Source organism: Homo sapiens, chromosome 3 (assembly GCF_000001405.40).
Source record: "Homo sapiens chromosome 3, GRCh38.p14 Primary Assembly".
In the NCBI taxonomy this organism is placed as follows: domain Eukaryota; kingdom Metazoa; phylum Chordata; class Mammalia; order Primates; family Hominidae; genus Homo; species Homo sapiens.
Genome location: NC_000003.12, coordinates 1,515,199 through 1,534,398, shown reverse-complemented (window position 1 = coordinate 1,534,398; position 19,200 = coordinate 1,515,199).

Genomic DNA, 19,200 nt, shown 5'->3' with positions numbered 1-19,200 from the left:
TAGGTGACATTGAAGCATTTTGTACTTGTCTTCAACTAAGAACATGCATGTGAAAGTCATTGAGAAATTTTAAGTAGGGGCATAATATCAGATTTTTAGAATGTAAAACAAAACAGAACAAAACTCCATCCACAACATCATCTCTGGCTGTGATGTGGAGATTAGACAAGTCACAAAGGTGGACGTGAGTAAAAGATTTGGGAAGCTAGTACCTTAGATCAGGTAAGAGAGGATAGTGCCATGGTTTAGAGTGGATCCGTGGGAAGACAGGGAGGTAGCTAGAGTTGTGCTGTGTTTAGAAGGCAAAGGCTTCAGGGCTTGTTTTTCAACTGGCTTTGGGAGATGAGGGAGTAGAGACTGATAAAGGCAATGCTGCTGTGTCTGGTTTGCCTAACTAAATGCTCCATTGGTGTAGGAAACCACTGAAAAGGAACCAGATTTACAAAGTAGATCAAGAGATAAGATGTATACTTGTTAAGTATGCAATGGCTCTGAGACCTGCAAGAAGATGATTTAAGTAAGGGAGAGGGATTTATTGCTACGGACCTTAGAAGATAAATATAATCTGGAGATATGAATTTGGGATTCAACTACCAGCAGAAATAAACTTTCAAAATTTAACTACATTATTGCTATGTAACTGCGAACAAATGTGGCAAACAAATGCTCTCTCCAAATCAATTTTTTTAAATTCCTGGGCATATGATTATACAGCACACTTTGCAGGCTCTCATATCCCTAGTTTTCACCACGTGAGTAAATCCTCACTAATGAAATGTGACAAAATGAATGCAGCCAACCTATAGCTTGTTTTCTTTAAAAACATGTACCTTAAACTTATTAAAAGTAATGGCAAAGACCACAGTTACTTTTGCACCATCCTGATATTTATCTCTTTCCTTGTATATGGCTGAAATTAAGTGCAGCTAGAACAAAAGCAGACCCACTCACTGAGATCACTAGATGACTTCCTGGATCAGAGTCTGCCTACCTGCCCTAGATGGTGATGTTAGAGAAAAACTTTTATCTTGTTGGAGCCACTGTACTTTAGGATGTTTTCATCATAGCAGTTTAGCTTTTTACTGAAATTTTTTGAGAGGTCAGTTATATTACAATATAGTGGCAATTTGGAGCAATTCACAGGTTGTGTGAAAAATGCACAGTGTATTTTCTGGCTCATGGCTTCTTGCAAATAATTGTTTATAATCATTTTAAGCCTGCAAGTTAGGTTTCATTAGTCCTCTTATAGAGATATGAAAGTGAAACTCAAAGTGTTTTTTTAGTAAATTGCGCACGTCATTGAACTGACAGGTGATCCCGGATTCAAATTCAAATCCAATTTCAACGACTCTATTATTTCTAGCACTTCATGTTATGAGTTTATATCTCTAATTGGTCCAATGCCTTCAGCATCAGTACTACATCTTTTATTTTTTATTTCCACAGTGCCTAGCATGAGGCTTCACATGTGGTTGCAACTCATTAAATATGCATTTATTTCCTTAGAATGCAGGCCTTAACAGTCCCACTAGAGAATCCACTTCCTCCCATAAAATTCAGCAGTAAGAATGGGCCCAAAGAGACTTAATTTCATTTCAGAGAATCTATATCCAACATCATATCACTATGTATTCTAATCATGGTCTATTTGCAAAAGGAAGGCTCTGTTCTAATAGGCCTGAACGCTCTATTTTTTCCATTTTGCTCAGGCATGTAAATCAGCATGCAGGCAAACAAAAAAACTTCAACAACCCACATACTTGTGCTGTTTGATTATTTGGCTTGTTTTCATTTTAACCTGCCTGCCTCATTCCCAAGGAACACATAAGCACTGAAATCAGCATTTCTCCAAGCTACTCAGCACAAATAATTAAATAAGGGCTTCTCACCTTTGAAGAACAGCTATTTTTAAGAGTAAATCATTTACATATTTATTATTAATACCTCACCACTGTGTTTATTGTATTATTATAATTCCATGTGGAACTACTGAAAACCTCATACTATTAGGTTCTGCATGTTTACCCATCTTGAGACCACTTTGCTTTCATTAGTATTCATACAGCCTTCCAAATGGAGAAATAAGGTAATGAAAACTTAACCTGAATCAGATCCCTATTCACATGGGCCAGCATGAACTAGGAAGTTCATTTTGGCTGAACCCACAAGCTCTCTGATTTACTTCTTTATTAATGTTTTCCTTGTAATCATTAATATAATTTTATTGCATGCTGGGAACACTGTGGGAGTTAAATATGGTCATTAAATAAACTGAGGTATGTGGTTCAGCTTCTCTGCCACTGTACAGATGGCAGGAGAAAACACAGAAATACATGTATAAATCACACATGTGCAGTCTTACCTACTTCTTTATGCCAATATCATGACTTATCAACAGTTCACAGTTGGATATATAGGAGATTTCTTCAGTAATATACAGTGAATTAGACTATCCTTTACTCCCAATTATTAAAAACACTAACAGAAAGGGGTCCAGTAAACAACACACACTGGAAACAAATGATTGCTCATTTTCTTTGAGCATCAAAGGAAGATATCTCTAGAGAAATTAATTAATTTAAAGAATTAATGTAATTCCTTCAATTTTCCATGCCTAAAAATATTACTTTTTCAAGTTACCAAAAAAGTAAAGTTTTGCACTATTAGTGATATGAGTGATAATGACGCTAATGAAATGTAAATGAAATTAAACATTTTACTGTTTCAAGGAATAATTATTATCAATTGATAGCTTTAAATTCGAGTTGCAGGATAATGCTGTGTTGGTGCTGTACAAACAAGTACCATTGTTATCCTTTTAGACCAAAGACGAGCTAAGAATCATATAGTATAATTACTCCAGTAAGAGCAGTCACCAACTGACTTGGACCTATCTCGTTTTATGACCTCATTTTAATGAGGTCAAGGCCATTGTCTCATAAGATCCCAGGGGCAACAGATAATATGATTAACACTAGCAAGCTGCTGTCAGATTTTATGAATTTAGTAAAATGTAGGATAATAGTGGAGGCTGCACAACTCATAGGAAAATCAGTATATCAATAAAAAATCCAATAAAACAAATATTAATAAGACAATAATTGTATTAGCATTATTATAATTAAATAGTTAATATTTATAGAACACTTTTATGTCAAATTAAGTCATTTATTCCATAAATTGATCCAAGGTGGGTATATTTCACAGTTGATGAAATTAAGACACAGAGAGCTTCACTGGTTTTCCTACAGCTAGTAAGTGACAGAAATATGAAACCCAAATAGTCTTGACACCAGTCTTGACGCTAGCATTTGTGTACTCCTTTCCTCTTACATTTCCTTTCTACACAGTATGCATTCTACTAATGAATCCAATGATGGTTGTCATCCTCAAATATGAAAAAGAACATATGCCAGTAGTTATTCGTAATCTATTGTAAAATTCAATCATCATGAAGATAATCATTTAGAGTATAAGTAGCTGCTCAAAAGAGAGAGATTCTACAAGAGCAAGGATCAGATTCAAGAATGCATTTTTCAGTATACACTGGATTTAATGACTACAGATAAAAAACTATTTCGTTAAAACAGTGAAGGAGAAGTATACTTGATTAGGAAGAGAGAACTTTTAGATACAATTCATTTTGAATGTATGAAATTTTTACAGCAGGAAAAGGAGGTCTTTGCTTCCTCTTGGTGAGAGCAATACAACAATATAACCCAAAAAGTGCATGAAAAATTATGCAAGGCACAAAACAAATATTTTCTTCTCTCTTTGGCTCATAGTGGCCCTTTCAAAAATAAGAACAAGGGAGGGAGGGAGAGAGAGAGAAAGAAAAAAGCAATATGATGAGATTATAGGATAAACATCAAATAGTTTAGTAAAGAAAATATTTATACCTCCTTGTATTGGCCTGATCTAAATACAGATGTATTTGTAAAATAAAATTTTAACTCTTAAAGTATCTCATATAAAAAATTAAAGAAATACATATTTCCATTATTTGTGTTTTATATATTCATCAATATATTCCATCCACATGCTTAATAAGAGTAATCATTTCTCAGACTAGAGATGACTTAGCAAAACAAGAGAGTAATTACATGTAACTTACAAATAGAATGGTATTTTTCTCTCCTATTGTTTTCTGGTATATTTCCTTATTCTGGTTTGAATGAAATATTTGAAAGAGAAGGATTTGAATATCAAAATTCTTTAAAAAGTCTGTGCTCATAGCTGCATTCATATGTATATGTACATAATCTTGTTACAATAAAAGAAACTCGCTCTCATTTAATTTGACTTTGTTCAATGTCTCATCTGAAACCAGAAAGATGGGAAAAATGTTTAAATCAGAAATAGCTGAACAGAACTGGCGAGATAAGAATATATGTGGCATTTATAAATTCTGTTTTGAGACATACTTTTCCTTTCTGAAGTCAGAAAATATTTTGTTGACTTTCCTTATCTGCTTCATGACCACTGCTAATCGTGATTCTGATCTGCACGAGTATTTCTATAAAGCACACAATGGCTATCTGGCTATTTTTCGTTTACTTTGGCCACTGTAGGTCCAACAGAGAAAGTTGTATGTTATGAAAAGAACACTGCATTTAGAATCAGACCATCTGGTAATAAAACTCCAACTTGAACAATTACTAACTGTATAATGTTTGCAAGTTATTTAAAATTTCTGAGCTTCAATTTCTCTTATGTAAAAGGGAAATACTACATACATTCCAGTATTATTGTTAGAATGATCTGAGGTAAAGTATGTAGAAGAAAAATAATTCAGACAGAAGATGTTTAATATTCATTGACTAAAATCCAAACTAAACAATTATTTATAAAAGATGTTGAGCTTCAATTGTCTAGTTGGCTCTTTCCATTTATCACAGTATTGGAATGATTTCATATCACAACCTCAGTTTCTGCTATGAAGATTCCATGTACTATATTCTCTGAACCTCTTTTGAGTGTCTGTCCCTAGCAGATTTAATGTAGTGTGAGATACACCACTCCCTTTATGCCTGTTCACTCTCATAATTCTGTATTCACCATAACAGGAATTTCACTGGGTTGCTCTTTTCTTTGCCATTTTCCCTTGTTGGCAAATTACTTTTAACATTCACTTTTTATTAAAAATCTTAAATCAGATGCATGATTCCCTCTTGCTCTATACCAGGCCTCCAGTAGGGCTGCTATCCAGAGTCTAAATGAAGATTGAACAGTTAAACAAACATTATTGAGAGCTTCTCATTTAGAACCACTCTTAGGAATACAGCAGCAGAAATGCTTTGGCAATGTGGTATAAAACAAAACGTTGGAATAAATGTAGAAAAACAAAACTTTAAGATCAAAAGTTCACCAATATGATAAACTAGGTAGAAGCAAAACTGAAAGAGAACATTGACTAATTTTTTTTTTAATGAAAAGAGAAATAAAAGAAAATTTGAAACTGCTTAATAGGAAATGGCTTTTTTGAAATGGTACTCTCTTAGGATATGTTTATGTGCATTCTCTGCCCAACTTCAAAAGCACAGCACACTTTTTCATGCTTTTGAAGTTAGATCAGTGTTGGGGAATGGTTATAGTGTGGCCAGAAGCGAAACTGACACTTTGTTGCGTTTAAAAACAACAACAAAAAAGTGCACGAGGCCAGAAAGGTACATCCCATTAAAGTAGTTGGGAAAATGTTTGTAACTGAAGAATTTTACAGAGGTCCTCCAGGCCCCATTCTACTGAAGCAAAAGGCGTAAGCAATTAAATATGACACATTCTAATGTAGCCAGAGAGGCCAAGAATACAATTTTAAATTATTAAAACATAACATGTTTGGATAAAAATTACACTTGGCTGACAGTCTTGATGAACCTCCTTGTATGACCTACTAAATGCCTTTGATGAATCTGGAAAAGATAAACAAGGAAACATCATGGAAATAGAGGTATGACAGTCTCCGTAGAAAGAATTACCAGAAAGAACCCAGGGCCTATGGAATTTAATTGGAAACACGAAGAGTAGTACATTGAAATACAGATCCAGGAGCAGAGGGACTTTGACCATTTGAAAGATGTGGGGAAGATTTTTGGATTGGGATCATTGACGCAGCACATCTTGAGGACCTCTTGTGGGCCAGACACTGTCTTAGGCACTGGAACAGAATGGAGGATGTCCCTGTTCTGATCGAGTTTGCATTGTGGGGAAGAGTGGTGGAAAATAAATAAATAGATGTTGTGTCCATGCCTTGAGGAAACATAAAACAAGATGAGCAGATGCAGCTCTTCCGGTGAGAGCCATTTAATGCAATTCCCTAAATACTGCTCCAGAACTCACTTTGCTCAATAGTCACTGATTTTTATCTTGGGAACTTTCAGTGTTTTGCCACGTAGGCAACGGCCCCCATTTTCACTGCAGTACATTCCTAGCCTGCTGTGGAGGGATGCCCTCTGCTCTGTTTTATCTACTAACAGAATACTATTCTTCCTGTTTCCTATATATTAGTAAAAATATTATTGTCCTCTAACACCACTGTCCAGTCTGCATATGCACTTTTATTTGATTAAAGAGACGAAGGAGATAAGGCACTGGAAAAGAGGGGAGATAAGTCTGGCTGTCCCATTTACCTCTCACACAGAAATAGAACTGATTTTTTTTATTTTATTGCCTTTTAGTTTTCAAGTAGAAAGTTAAAAAAAAAAAACTAAAAAAGCATTTATTTTATAATCAGAAAAATTGAAACGTTTGAATAACTTAATAGTAATTGTTTAAAATTTCATGTGTATATTACAGAGATTTGCATGTATTTTCAAAAGAACAGTGGGCTGTAAGTTTTCCTGAGAAACAACATTTGTAGAATGCTTAAAATATAAAGTCAAACTATGAGAAAAACCTAAGACCTAGGACCTGAGAGATAACATTTGTAGAATGCTTAAAATTTAAAAAATTACGAAAAAAACCTAAAGCCTGCAATCGGCATATTAACAGATCTAACTATCAAAGAAACACATGGCACAATATTAATATTTGCTAATAATAAAAAATGCAAAATAACGCTATACAATTCCATTTTATAATTTAAGTGATCAAAATACATCCTCTAATTCTTAATTACTCCTATTTGTGAAGTTGGCAAAACCACATACTGTTAGTTTGAAGTACAATTTAATGTAACCCTTTGGGAATGCAAAATCATTGAAATGTTCACCCTTTGATACCATAATTTCATTTTTGAATTTTTTCTTAAATAAAGATTTGAAAGGGACTCTAGCTACATGAGTAGAGTTTAGCTGCCCTTGCCACAAAAATAAAAAAATAGATAACTATGTAAGATTATGGATATGTTAATTTGCTTTACTGTAATAACCATTTTATTATCTACATGTATTCCATAACATCATGTTGCATACCTTAAATATACATAATAAAATTTATTAAATTAAAAAAATTCAATAGGTTTTGGAGTACAAGTGGTTTTTGGTTACATGGATGAATTATATAGTGGTGAAGTCTGAGATTTTAGTGCACCTGTCACCCTAGTAGTGTACATTGTACCCAATAGGTAGTTACAATAAAATTTATTTTTTTTAAGAAAAGTAAGTAACGACCAGGCACGGTGGCTCACACCTGTAATCCCAGCACTTTGGGAGGCCGAGGCGGGCGGATCACAAGGTCAAAAGATCAAGACCATCTGACCAACACGGTGAAACCCCATCTCTACTAAAAACACAAAAATTAGCTGGGCGTGGTGGTGCACACCTGTAGTCCCAGCTACTCGGGAGGCTGAAGCAGGAGAATCACTTGAACTTGGGAAGTGGAGCTTGCGGTGAGCCCAGATCACGCCACTGCACTCCAGCCTGGCGACAGAGCGAGACTCCGAGAAAAAAAAAAAAACACGAAATTAACTACAAATACATTTATTGCTATAGTTTTTAAGAAAAATAAAGATGCACTACTTAAATATTTAACAACAGGAGGATTGCTAAGTAAAAGATTTCATGGTGTTTTATTTGTTGAAAAAGTAGACATGCGGCCGGGCGCGGTGGCTCACGCCTGTAATCCCAGCACTTTGGGAGGCCGAGGCGGGTGGATCACGAGGTCAGGAGATCGAGACCATCCTGGCTAACACGGTGAAACCCCGTCTCTACTAAAAATACAAAAAATCAGCCGGGCATGGTGGCGGCGCCTGTAGTCCCAGCTACTCGGGAGGCTGAGGCAGGAGAATGGCGGGAACCCGGGGGGCGGAGCTTGCGGTGAGCAGAGATGGCGCCACCGCCCTCCAGCCTGGGCGACAGAGCCAGACTCCGTCTCAAAAAATAAATAAATACATAAATAAGAAATAGACATGCATTAAAATAATAGGTAGGCTATATAATACACAGAAAACATTTATACAAAATTAATGTCCAGGCTGGGAGCTGTGGCTCACACCTGTAATTCCAGCACTTTGGGAGGCCGAGGCGGGTGGATCACGGGGTCAGGAGTTTGAAACCAACCTGGCTAATGTGGCAAAACCTCGTCTCTACAAAAACTATACACACACACACACACACACACACACACACACACACAAACACACACGCACAGTGTATTGGTGCATACCTGTGGTCCCAGCTACTAGGGAGGCTGACAGGAAAATCACTTCAACCTGGGAGGCAGAGGTTGCAGTGTGCAGAGCTAATGCCACTGTACTCCAGCCTGGGTGAAAGAGCAAGACTCTGTCTCAAAAGAAAAAAAAAAAGAAATAAAGAAATAAAAATATTAACATCCAAAATTAACTATATGCATGTATGTGTAAATAATTTTTTTCATAAGCATAATTTTAGGTAAACATGGATGCAGAGAAAAATAAAAGTCTAAAAAATTGAACATGAAAATAATTTGTTTTCCAGCAGTAGCAGAATTATGGGTGACTTTTTATTCTATTGTTACATTATTACTCTTATAAAATCATTATAATGTTTGTATAATTATGCTTCATTAAAATGATTTTTAAAATGTCAATTTATCATAGCTTTGGGGCCTGCACTCACTATTTCCTTCCCTCTCTTGGAATCTTCATTCCCTGGATATCCCCATGGCTTGCTTGCTCACTCACTTCTCTTCAAGTCTTTATTCAAATGTCATCTTCTTAGTGGGATGTACACTAGCCACTCACTTAAAATTGCAAATCTTGCTACCTTCCAACTGTTCTTGCTTCCAATTCTCTTTTTAACATTTCTCCTTGTCCACTATACAACATACCTTTCTTACTTGTTTATCTAGTTTGTTTTCTGTCTTCCACACAATAACATAAGGTAAAGTCTGACTTCTTAACCCCCCAAAATCAGGCTTTTCATGATTTGGCCTCAGTCTACTCCAGCTGCACCCATCTTTAATTACTCTTCTCACGTCTTAAATTCCAGTCACATAGTTTTGGAAACCTTCAAAAATTAAGATAGATTAGTGCTTGAGTGGAGGAATAGATAGGCGAATAGATGTGTGGTAGAACAAGTATAATAATATATGATTTAACCTAGTTGGTAAATATGGGTTTGGTGTAATTTGTATGGTTTTTTTGTCTTTGTAGGTTTAAAATTTTCATATAAAGTGATAAGAAAAGCCTATCAATCAATTAAATGTCATATGAAGAGTTTATTTTGACCTGATTTGGATAACTTAACAAAAATGAGTAAACTAAAATGTTTTAGGCAATCAGGGAAATATGAACACTGATATGTTATTAGCTGATATTAAGTAAATAATGCTATTATCTTTCTCAAGCATGATAGTTTAATAGGCACTGTGCTTTTTAAAAAGGGACTTGTAGACAAACATATTTTTAGTGGATGAAATGCTATTGTATCTAGTATTTTATTTAGGGAGTAAGGGGGAAATTAAGGTTTGAAAAAGAATGCACGTGAGAATCTGCCATCCATTGATAACTGTTGAAGTTAGATTATAGGAACATCTAGGAGTTCAATATGCTCTTCTCTCTATGTTTATATTCATTTGAATGTTTTCATAATAAAAATGTGAACACCACTTGTGTTTTCCTTTCATTTATCACAAAACTTGGAATCACATTTGATCTTACATCTTTAGCTGGATCACAAGTTCAACAATTGTTAAGTATCTAGTTTTGTGTTGTTGTGACAAAATACCTGAGATTGGGTGATTTAAAAAGAAGAGAAATTTATTTCTCACAGTTCTGGAGGCTGGGAAGTCCAATATCAAGACACAGGCCTCTGACGAGGGCCTTCTTCCTGCATCATAACATGGCAGCAGGCCCTTCATGACAACAGGGAAAAAGAAGAGGCCAATCTAGTTTTTGTAACAAGTTTATTCTCTTTAGCACCATAACAACACCACCAAGGCTTACCACTTCCACCTCCTGGAACTGTGTCATAAGCCTCACCTGGGTCTGCTTGAGCTGTGGCTGGTGAGAAACACTGCACCCAAATCCTGGGAGCCAAGTCCTTAGGTAGACTTGGGCAGCAAATACTAAAGTCTTGCGAGTGCTTCTCTGGAAACCTTGCACTCAAGATGCTGGCTTGGCTTGGAGATGTCTGAAATGCCTTCAGGGTCATTGTCACATTGTCTTGATAAATAGAACCTAGCTCCATTCTGTCCATAGCCAAGGGTTGCTCGCCCATGCCCTTAGACTTCTCTCCCAAACATGTTCTTTTTTTTTTTTTTTTTACTTTACATAGCCAGGCTGAAAGTTTTCCAAATTTTTCCATTGTGCTTCTCTTTTAATTATGAATTCCATCATTAAATCTTTTCTTCTTTTCTGTAAATTTACTGTAAGTAGCCAAAAGAAGCTATGAAGCACCTTGAGTGCTTTGCTGCTTAGATACTTCTTCTTTTATATATCCTAGTTCATTGCCCTTGAATTCTGCCATCCGTAAATCCCTAGATCATGGAAGTATTTTAGCCAAGTTCTTTGCCACTTTCTAACAAGGATGGCCTCTATTTCAATTTCCAGTACATTGTTCCTTGCTACCATCTAAGACCTCATGAAACCATTACCAACCATATTTCTACCAACATTCTGATCATGACCACTTAAGTAATCGCTAAGAAGTTCCAAACTTTCTGTACATTTTTTGTCTTCTGAGCTCTCACCAGCACTGCCTTTAACATTCCATTCATGGCAAACTGGGCTTTTCATAGTCCACTCCTTCAGATTCTTCCAGCCTCTACCATTGTTTACCCAGTTCCACAGCCACTTCCACATTTTCAGGAATTTGTTGTAGTAACAATCCCACTTTTCAGTATCAATTTTCTGTCTTAGTCTGTTTTGTGCTACTATAACAGAATACCTAAGAACGGTTAATTTATAAAGAAAATTAAGTTATTTCTCACAGTTCTGGAGGTTTGAAAGTCCAACCTCCAAGGTGTCAGCATCTGACGCCATCTGGAGAGGGACTTCTTGTGGCATCATAACATGTCAGAAGGCTCCTCATGGCAAGAGAGAGAGAGCAAAAGGGGCCCAAACTTGCTTTTATAACAAAACTCACTCTCACAATAACTAAGCACCTCTGCAATAAGAACATAAATCCATTTATGAGACAGAATACTCATGTCCTAATCACCTCTTATTAGGACTCATCTCTCAACAATATTGCATTGAGGATTAGCTTTCCAACACATCAACTTTAGTGGACATATTCAACAAATAGCATTGTTTCTCCAGTTCCTAGCATAGTGTCTAGAACAGAGTAGGTATTCAATGATTAATAATACAATTATCTAATTTAAATTATCAAGAGTGACATAGTAATATAAATGTTAATTGAATTTGCAGTAAAGCTCCCTGCAAATTTTTCATTATTCTTTTGTTAAGAAACACAGATGGAAGTCAACTTATACTAAGTAAAAGCATCTATTTATCATTCGTAGAATTGCATCTGAATATAAATAATATGTTAAGAATAATTGTACAAGGTTTTTCACTTGTAGTTTGCTACTGTTTCCAATAATTCTCCATCTCTGTCACTTCATAAACACCATGTTGGCCTTCACAACGTATCCTGAACAGGAATCAACTATGGGGCTGTCTCTACCTCTCTCGATATAACTGAAAGGTTTTGCATGCTTTCCTTTTTGTTTGACTTTCAAGCTAAGTCAGTACAAATTGTTGAGTTGCACTGGGAAACTTAGAACTACAAGAACTGCAGACCCCTTCTCTAAAAAGCTACAAAAGAACAACAATCTTTCTATTTTCTGGATCTCAAGCAGGTGCCAGAGTTAATAGGAGAAAGAATTATGTTGACTCTCAGACACTGGCTTCCTGGTAGAGATGTTACTACATACATGTAAGCGCTGTGCCTTTATAACACATTGGACTCTTCCTATTCTCTGAGGCTTGGTACGCTTTATGGTCAATACATAACTGAAGCTTTGAAGGAAAAAAACCATGTCTGAGTAGCTGTAGGAAGGCAGACATAAACCAAACTGCACAAGCATGTCAACTCTAATGCTATTGAATGAGAAAAATTAGACTACTGATCCGTAAGCTACCTAGTATGTACAGTTGGTTGACAGAATATACTAGGGTTTTGCTCAGGACCAAGGACAGTATAAAACCTCTCTTTAAGCATGTGTGGTTAGAATGTAAAGTTCTAAAATTAATGTTTTTGGGAAAAAGGAAGTTCTTTAAATCCTTTGTGTACGAAACAAGTTTACAACATGTAATATTTCCTACGAAGTATGTTATTTCTCATTTAATTATACATGTCATCATTTGCCTCAGATGTGCGATTTTCTAAGACATAACTTTAGCCCTTCAAAGTGAATCAGGGATTAACTTCATAGTATTGCAAACTAGATGTTATAGAACCAGATGATTAATGGAAAACCAGAAGTGAGAGTCAACACAAAGCCTTTATGACCTTCTTTACATTCATAGCCATGATTCTGAAATCAGTTCTCCTCTGAAGACTTTATAATTCTTTAGTGAACAAACAAATAAAAATTGAGATTTTTATTTCATTGTTGGAACAATTTAGAGACTTATGAAATAGAATGTGCTCTGTTTTTAACTGAGCATTTATAAAAGTGTTCCTTTTGCCACCTCCCCTCAAAACAAAAAAGACAACAAAGAGTTGATTTACATAGTTTTAATATATTACTACTGGGGAAAAATATATACCCTGAAAAATATGACCCTTTCATCAATATCTTTAAATAGCAATATTTAGCACCCAGATAATAGAAATTATTATATGTGCTTACATTTTCTTTATTCTACCAGTTGCACTAGTCATGTATATACCTGCAAAAATTTAAAAATATATTCATTGCATCATCTGGATCTTGTCAAATGGACAGAAGTTTCAGATTAAGCGAACAAATATCAATGTAATTGGTTAAATTTTTTATTAATAACCAGTGTTTGATATTTTATAAGTACAAATATATGTGGACTCACTCATATTATATATACTGTATACATATTTGAAAAGGCATATCCTTATATGTGGATTAAAATACAACTTGAGAAAAACATATATTTTTTTCTTACAAGAGTAGGCCATTTAATATTTATTGATGTTAATATAACACTAAGAACATAAAAGCAATCAGAGTGAAAGAAATTGTCATTAAAAATATTTGGTAGGAGAAAAATGTGAGTATCATACATAGAATTTCATATTTGAAGACAAGACAAGCTCTTGATGACTGGCCTAGCAATATAGTCATGTGATTTTGAAATTGCTTATAGTTGATTTGGTTAAGAGGGATTTTTTTTTTTTTTAGTAGGAGAGGACATCAAATATTTCTTAGATTATTTGTTCTTCAGTTTTCTAAGACTTTGAAACTACTGGTAGACGGACACTAATTTATTCTTTAGTTTACCAGCAAGGAAAGCAATCACAAAAACAAGGCTGTAGGTATCTCAGCCTTTACATCTACAATAAATACATGTACAGGACTGTAATCACTAGAATAGAATTCTCATCTGGAACTTTCTGTGACACTGGACTGAGCAAACTTCAACCTCATTTAATGAGAGTTTGAGAGCACAAGTCCAGTTTTGTCACTTTCGTCTCGTAATTTCAGGCAGAGTTAAGGATTTCAATTTTCCTTTAAAGTAAGGTAAGGCAGCAAGTGTAAATCTTGTCTGTAGGGTAGCAAAATCAGAAAAGAAGGCAAAGCATGTGGCATTACAGAACACAAAAGATGGATAGCAATTAGTATCTAAGTGAAATAAATAATTTTTAAAAAACGTCTACTTTAACATAGGTACATGTATAAACCTAAGCTATAATATATATAGTGACTTACCTAAGAGCAATGTGTAAGCGTAGGTCTTTCTACATATGAAATTGTTTAATTTCTGTGTTTAATTTTATTGACAAAGTCATTACTAAAGCAAACTAAGTTAAAAAAAATCTTTTCCAAAAAGCTTGCAGTTGCAACAAAAGAAATCTTTTGATCATTTAAACTCATGGTTGTTTTGCTCGTCTTCTGAGTAGATGTATTTTTTTTAAATGAAGGGAATGTTAACAAATCCAATTATCTTAAGAGGAAGAGAGTGAGGCAGGGAGAGAGAAGAGAAAGAAAACGCAAAGGAGAAGTATACGATGTTGTAAGGTAATGGTGCTTCATTATTTGTGGTTTGATATCATACTTTACAATGCCTTTCTATCTCCAAGGGACCATGACTTTCCGAATTCTTGATGGCACCATTAAACAGCTGTGCAGCACTCATTCTGAAACAAAAATGCTCAAGCAGGAACACTGGAATTAACTGTGAAGAATACAAATTAGCTCACAGATTTATTCCTTACCCTGACATAATAAACAAATATTGATGGCTTTCTGGTGTGTAATACATCCTTATTCATTGCTTCACAACTCACTCCGAGCTTCTTCATCTTCTCTTCAATGTTTCTAAATGGGTGATTCATCCTATACTTCTTGAAATATTAGTGTGTTTACAGTCTTCAGATAGCTCACAGATTGTGTATCGTTAAAGTAGCTCCACAATGGCTTTCACTGTAGATTGTTGTTCTCTTTCAATTAATACGATTTTTTTTAACTTTTCAAGGTTTTTAAAAAAGAAGAAAATAGATTTTTATTTCACAACAATATTTTGATTATACATAGTGGTATCATCTTTTTAAGAACTTTTAGATTTCCCGATAAATCTTGCATGACTAAAAATACTAACTGTTCAAAGTAGAAATCAGTGATCAAAATAAGTGTCTTTCCTCCTTTTTTGCATAATATCTGACTCCTTCCCTAGCTGGATGGTTAGTTGGAACGAAAATCACCACAAGAGTTCTGTCCATCTTTCTATTTTGAGCAATATTGCAATTGAGAAAATGTCATTTTCTTTTAAACTTTTTCAAACGCAGGAATCAAGTTGTTACATTTCTACATTATAAAAAAGACTCAGCACTGGAAATATTTGTTATATTGTTTATCTTTGACTATATATTTCATTTAAGTCAGAAGTGTGTTTTTGAAAATTGTAAGCACTATGAAGGGATAAAATGACACTAAAGAAAGGTAAAGTGACATATTCCAAATCATAGAACAAACCAGATTGAGCAATAAGACAGAATTTGGAGTGTACACACATGCATTCTGATAGGCATATACTATCTGTATTTTAGAATCCTAAAGACAGGTATCTTGGAATAGAAAATGCAACCCTCAGCCCCTTCTTTCTCAGCTGTTTCATGGTTGAACATGATGACTTTGTTTGCTATTAAATTTGTATCTTTTATGGATTCCACACTGGAGTCACAAGAAAATCTGTCCATTAATGATAATGGATATTGGATATAAATAGTTGCATTCATAATGGAATTCAACCCTACACGCTGTCTGCATTAATGCATAGTACAAAAACACCTTATTCTTCAATGCTGCTGCATCCAAATTCTCCTTACATGTGTTTTGCCTCAGAAAAGAAGACAACTGGGTCCGATACAGTAAAAGGTGTGTCAGTCATAATTTGGTTAGAACTCTCAGTTTCTATAAATATATAAGCAAGAACTTTATAAAATATTATACTTGCTAACAATATAGCATGAATGCTTCTCATAGCAATACTCCAATTTTGAAGTTTGATGATGCAGGAATATCCCACTGAACTCAGTAAACTGGTACATTATGTTGGAGTAGCATATATTATTAACATTGATAACAAGATGCAGGAAAGAATCAATTACAATGTCTTCTGAAGGAAGTTATCGACAGTCTGAATCCAAATGCCTATAGATCCAATTTCACTTATGCCAAAAAGTAACAACAAACAATAAGATGATTGATAAGATATTTACACTTACCTTAGTAATGGTTTTGCAACAAACTAAATTTATCATCTGAAGTGATTTGATACCATATATCCAAGACCCACATTGGAGGAACAGCTATGTTCTGAGGATTTATAAGAATGCTGTAATGGAAAGAACTAGATTTTGACTCAGAAAATCTGGGCTTAAGACCCAGCTCTGCTATATACTACATTGTTTGACCTTAGGCAAGCCACATAACCTTTCTGAGCTCTGCAATTTCAACATCTGCAAAATGTAAACTACAGCAATTCACAGTGTCACTGTGTAAGGAAATATATATAAAACCTATCACAAACTATAAAACATATACTTGTGTAAGTCATTCATTTACATTATTAGACAGAATCTTAACATAGATGTATGCAATCTTTGGTACCTTTGTCACATTCTCCATCAGTATGCATTTCCTTCGTCCTAAAAACTCCATCCCACTTCCCATGTCACTAGGAAACATAGACGTGAATCAAAGAAACATAGATATGAATCAGAGAATAAAGAGGAACAAAAAAGATGAATCCTTAATATCACCTAGAGCATTATGTAACACCCAGGAACACTGTTTATCAATAGCATTTTACTAGGCTAATTATTTAACTTCTCTAGGTATCAATTTCTTTCTACATAAAATAACAAATGAAACTTTGTAATTTTTGAGTAGACTAAAAACACTCTACTATGATAGCACAGTAGCTCGCTGAATAATTGGTAGCTATAAATGTGCCTAATTCTTGCTGCTAACTAATCACTGCTAAAACACATTAATGATCTAAGGTTTGATGTACGTCCCGACATGCTTGGGTCATAAAAGCATAGTATAGCAGGTGTTGATTACATTTGTGTATGACCTCATTCTTTTAAGGATACTTCTGATTATAGCAACTGAAGTTGTGGCCAGACATAAGCTGTGCATGTAATTATTCAAACTTCATCTCCTAGAGTAAAGGTATCCTATTGGGTAATTATTAGACTATGCAATTGCTATATATCTAACACTGATATGTTGTGTATATATGCTAAAACTTGGGATGATTTTGTTGCTATATTGTTTACTTTAATAATTACACTCCCTAAACACACACACACACACACACACACAGAGAGAGAGAATATGTACTTTGCAAGACATGAATAAAGATTACATCCCTTTCAGTTGCATTTACATCAATAATCTGATTGTCCTTAAAACAGCCTAATACACTACTGGAGGATATTAGCTAGGTGAGTATAGTCTTAAGTTTTGATCTGAGACAAAAGTTCCAGCCATCATCACTTACCTAACCCATCCTCACTCTGGTTACAATTTGGGGACAAGCATTTCAACAACTGCTGTGCAGACTTTGACAGATTACTTTCTAAATTTCCCAACTATTTGTAGGGTGGCTCTATTGTTCCGTTAGTTAGGTACGGCGATTGACAATTCTGCTCCAGTTTTCATAACTCTGTTGAACCAATTAGGCTTGTTGCTTTAGAGTTATGCTTATACTCCCATGGCTTGACTCAAATATAATCAGAATTTACCTAATCAAGACAGTTCATGATGAGCACCCTCTGTCATTTCAATCTTCATGCTCATCTTTAGAGAGATCCAGAGCACACACGCTCTAAGGCAGATTCTCTTACAGAGGAAACATCATTCCTTGTGTATGTCCTCGAAATCAAAGATTGCCTTTAAAGTCAAATAAATTATAGATAACATAGCTTGGGTGTTCCCCTGGGAATTGAATCAGTCATTGCCGCTCGTCTTTGAACTTAATGTAGGTTCCAAACTCCAAGCTACAGACAGTATTCCTACATCCATAGCATCTGACTCTGGCAACCATTTCTGACAATCGTCTTGGCAGGCTGCACCCTCCCTCCAGGACTGCTGGTTGCCTTGGTGTCTGCATAGAGCTGCTCTATTGGATAAATTTTTTTTTTTACACTTTTATCAGCTCTCTAAAATGAGGGTTGTCCTTTTTCTGGGCCATGCATGAAAGAAACAAGCCTGCCTACTCGTGCACAGCACAACGGAGGTTCTGTCTCCAGACTGCCGTATCTACTCATCAAGCTCTGGCCAAAAATCTGCTCTGTGGGCCAAGAGGCACATATCACCTTCTGTGCATGTCACATAAATCTGTCTCCTGGCTTTTGGGTCACTTTCCAGTTTGAGACCAGGCATAGGGCAGCTTGCTTCTCTATTAAATTTAAGTGGTTCTCATCAAAGTGCAGAACCTCTGCTGTGAGTGAAATTAACAGCACATTTGATGCATTGTTGGCACTCTGATAATATGAATTTTTGACCACACAGCAGGGTGAATATGACTGAAGTGTACATAAAGTAAACCCTTTATGCAAGTTCCCTTCTTGTCGCTGGACAGGATCCATATCTGTCCTGCGAATTAAGCAAAGCACATGAGGTTGTGACTGTAATTGTTTTGATTTTGGATTATGATTTTCCTCCTCACTTTATAGTAGTCAGTAATGTGTTTATTTAGTGCTTAGTACCTAAAACTGTGTCTGACCATTTTATACTATAAAATTAGTCATCAAAGAGTTCTAAGTTTCTTGTGAGAAACATGATGAACACAAATGAAGCAGGTAGAAATTGAGACAAAATGGATTGTAATTAAGGGGAAAATCTGTATTAGCTAATAAAGATTGTCATAGTAGAGAGATATCATTGTGAGCTACAATAATTAGAAAGGCTTTATTAAAGGTATAGGATTTGAACTCATCCTTGATACTCATCCTTGAGTTGGTGAATGGTACCATACTTGATACTATAACAAAGGGTTTGTGTTCTTTTTTGTTTGTTTGTTTTGTTTTGTGTTTTGAGACAGAGTTTCACTCTTGTTGCCCAGGCTGGAGTGCAATGGCATGATCTCGGATCACCACAACCTCTGCCTCCCAGGTTCAAGAGATTCTC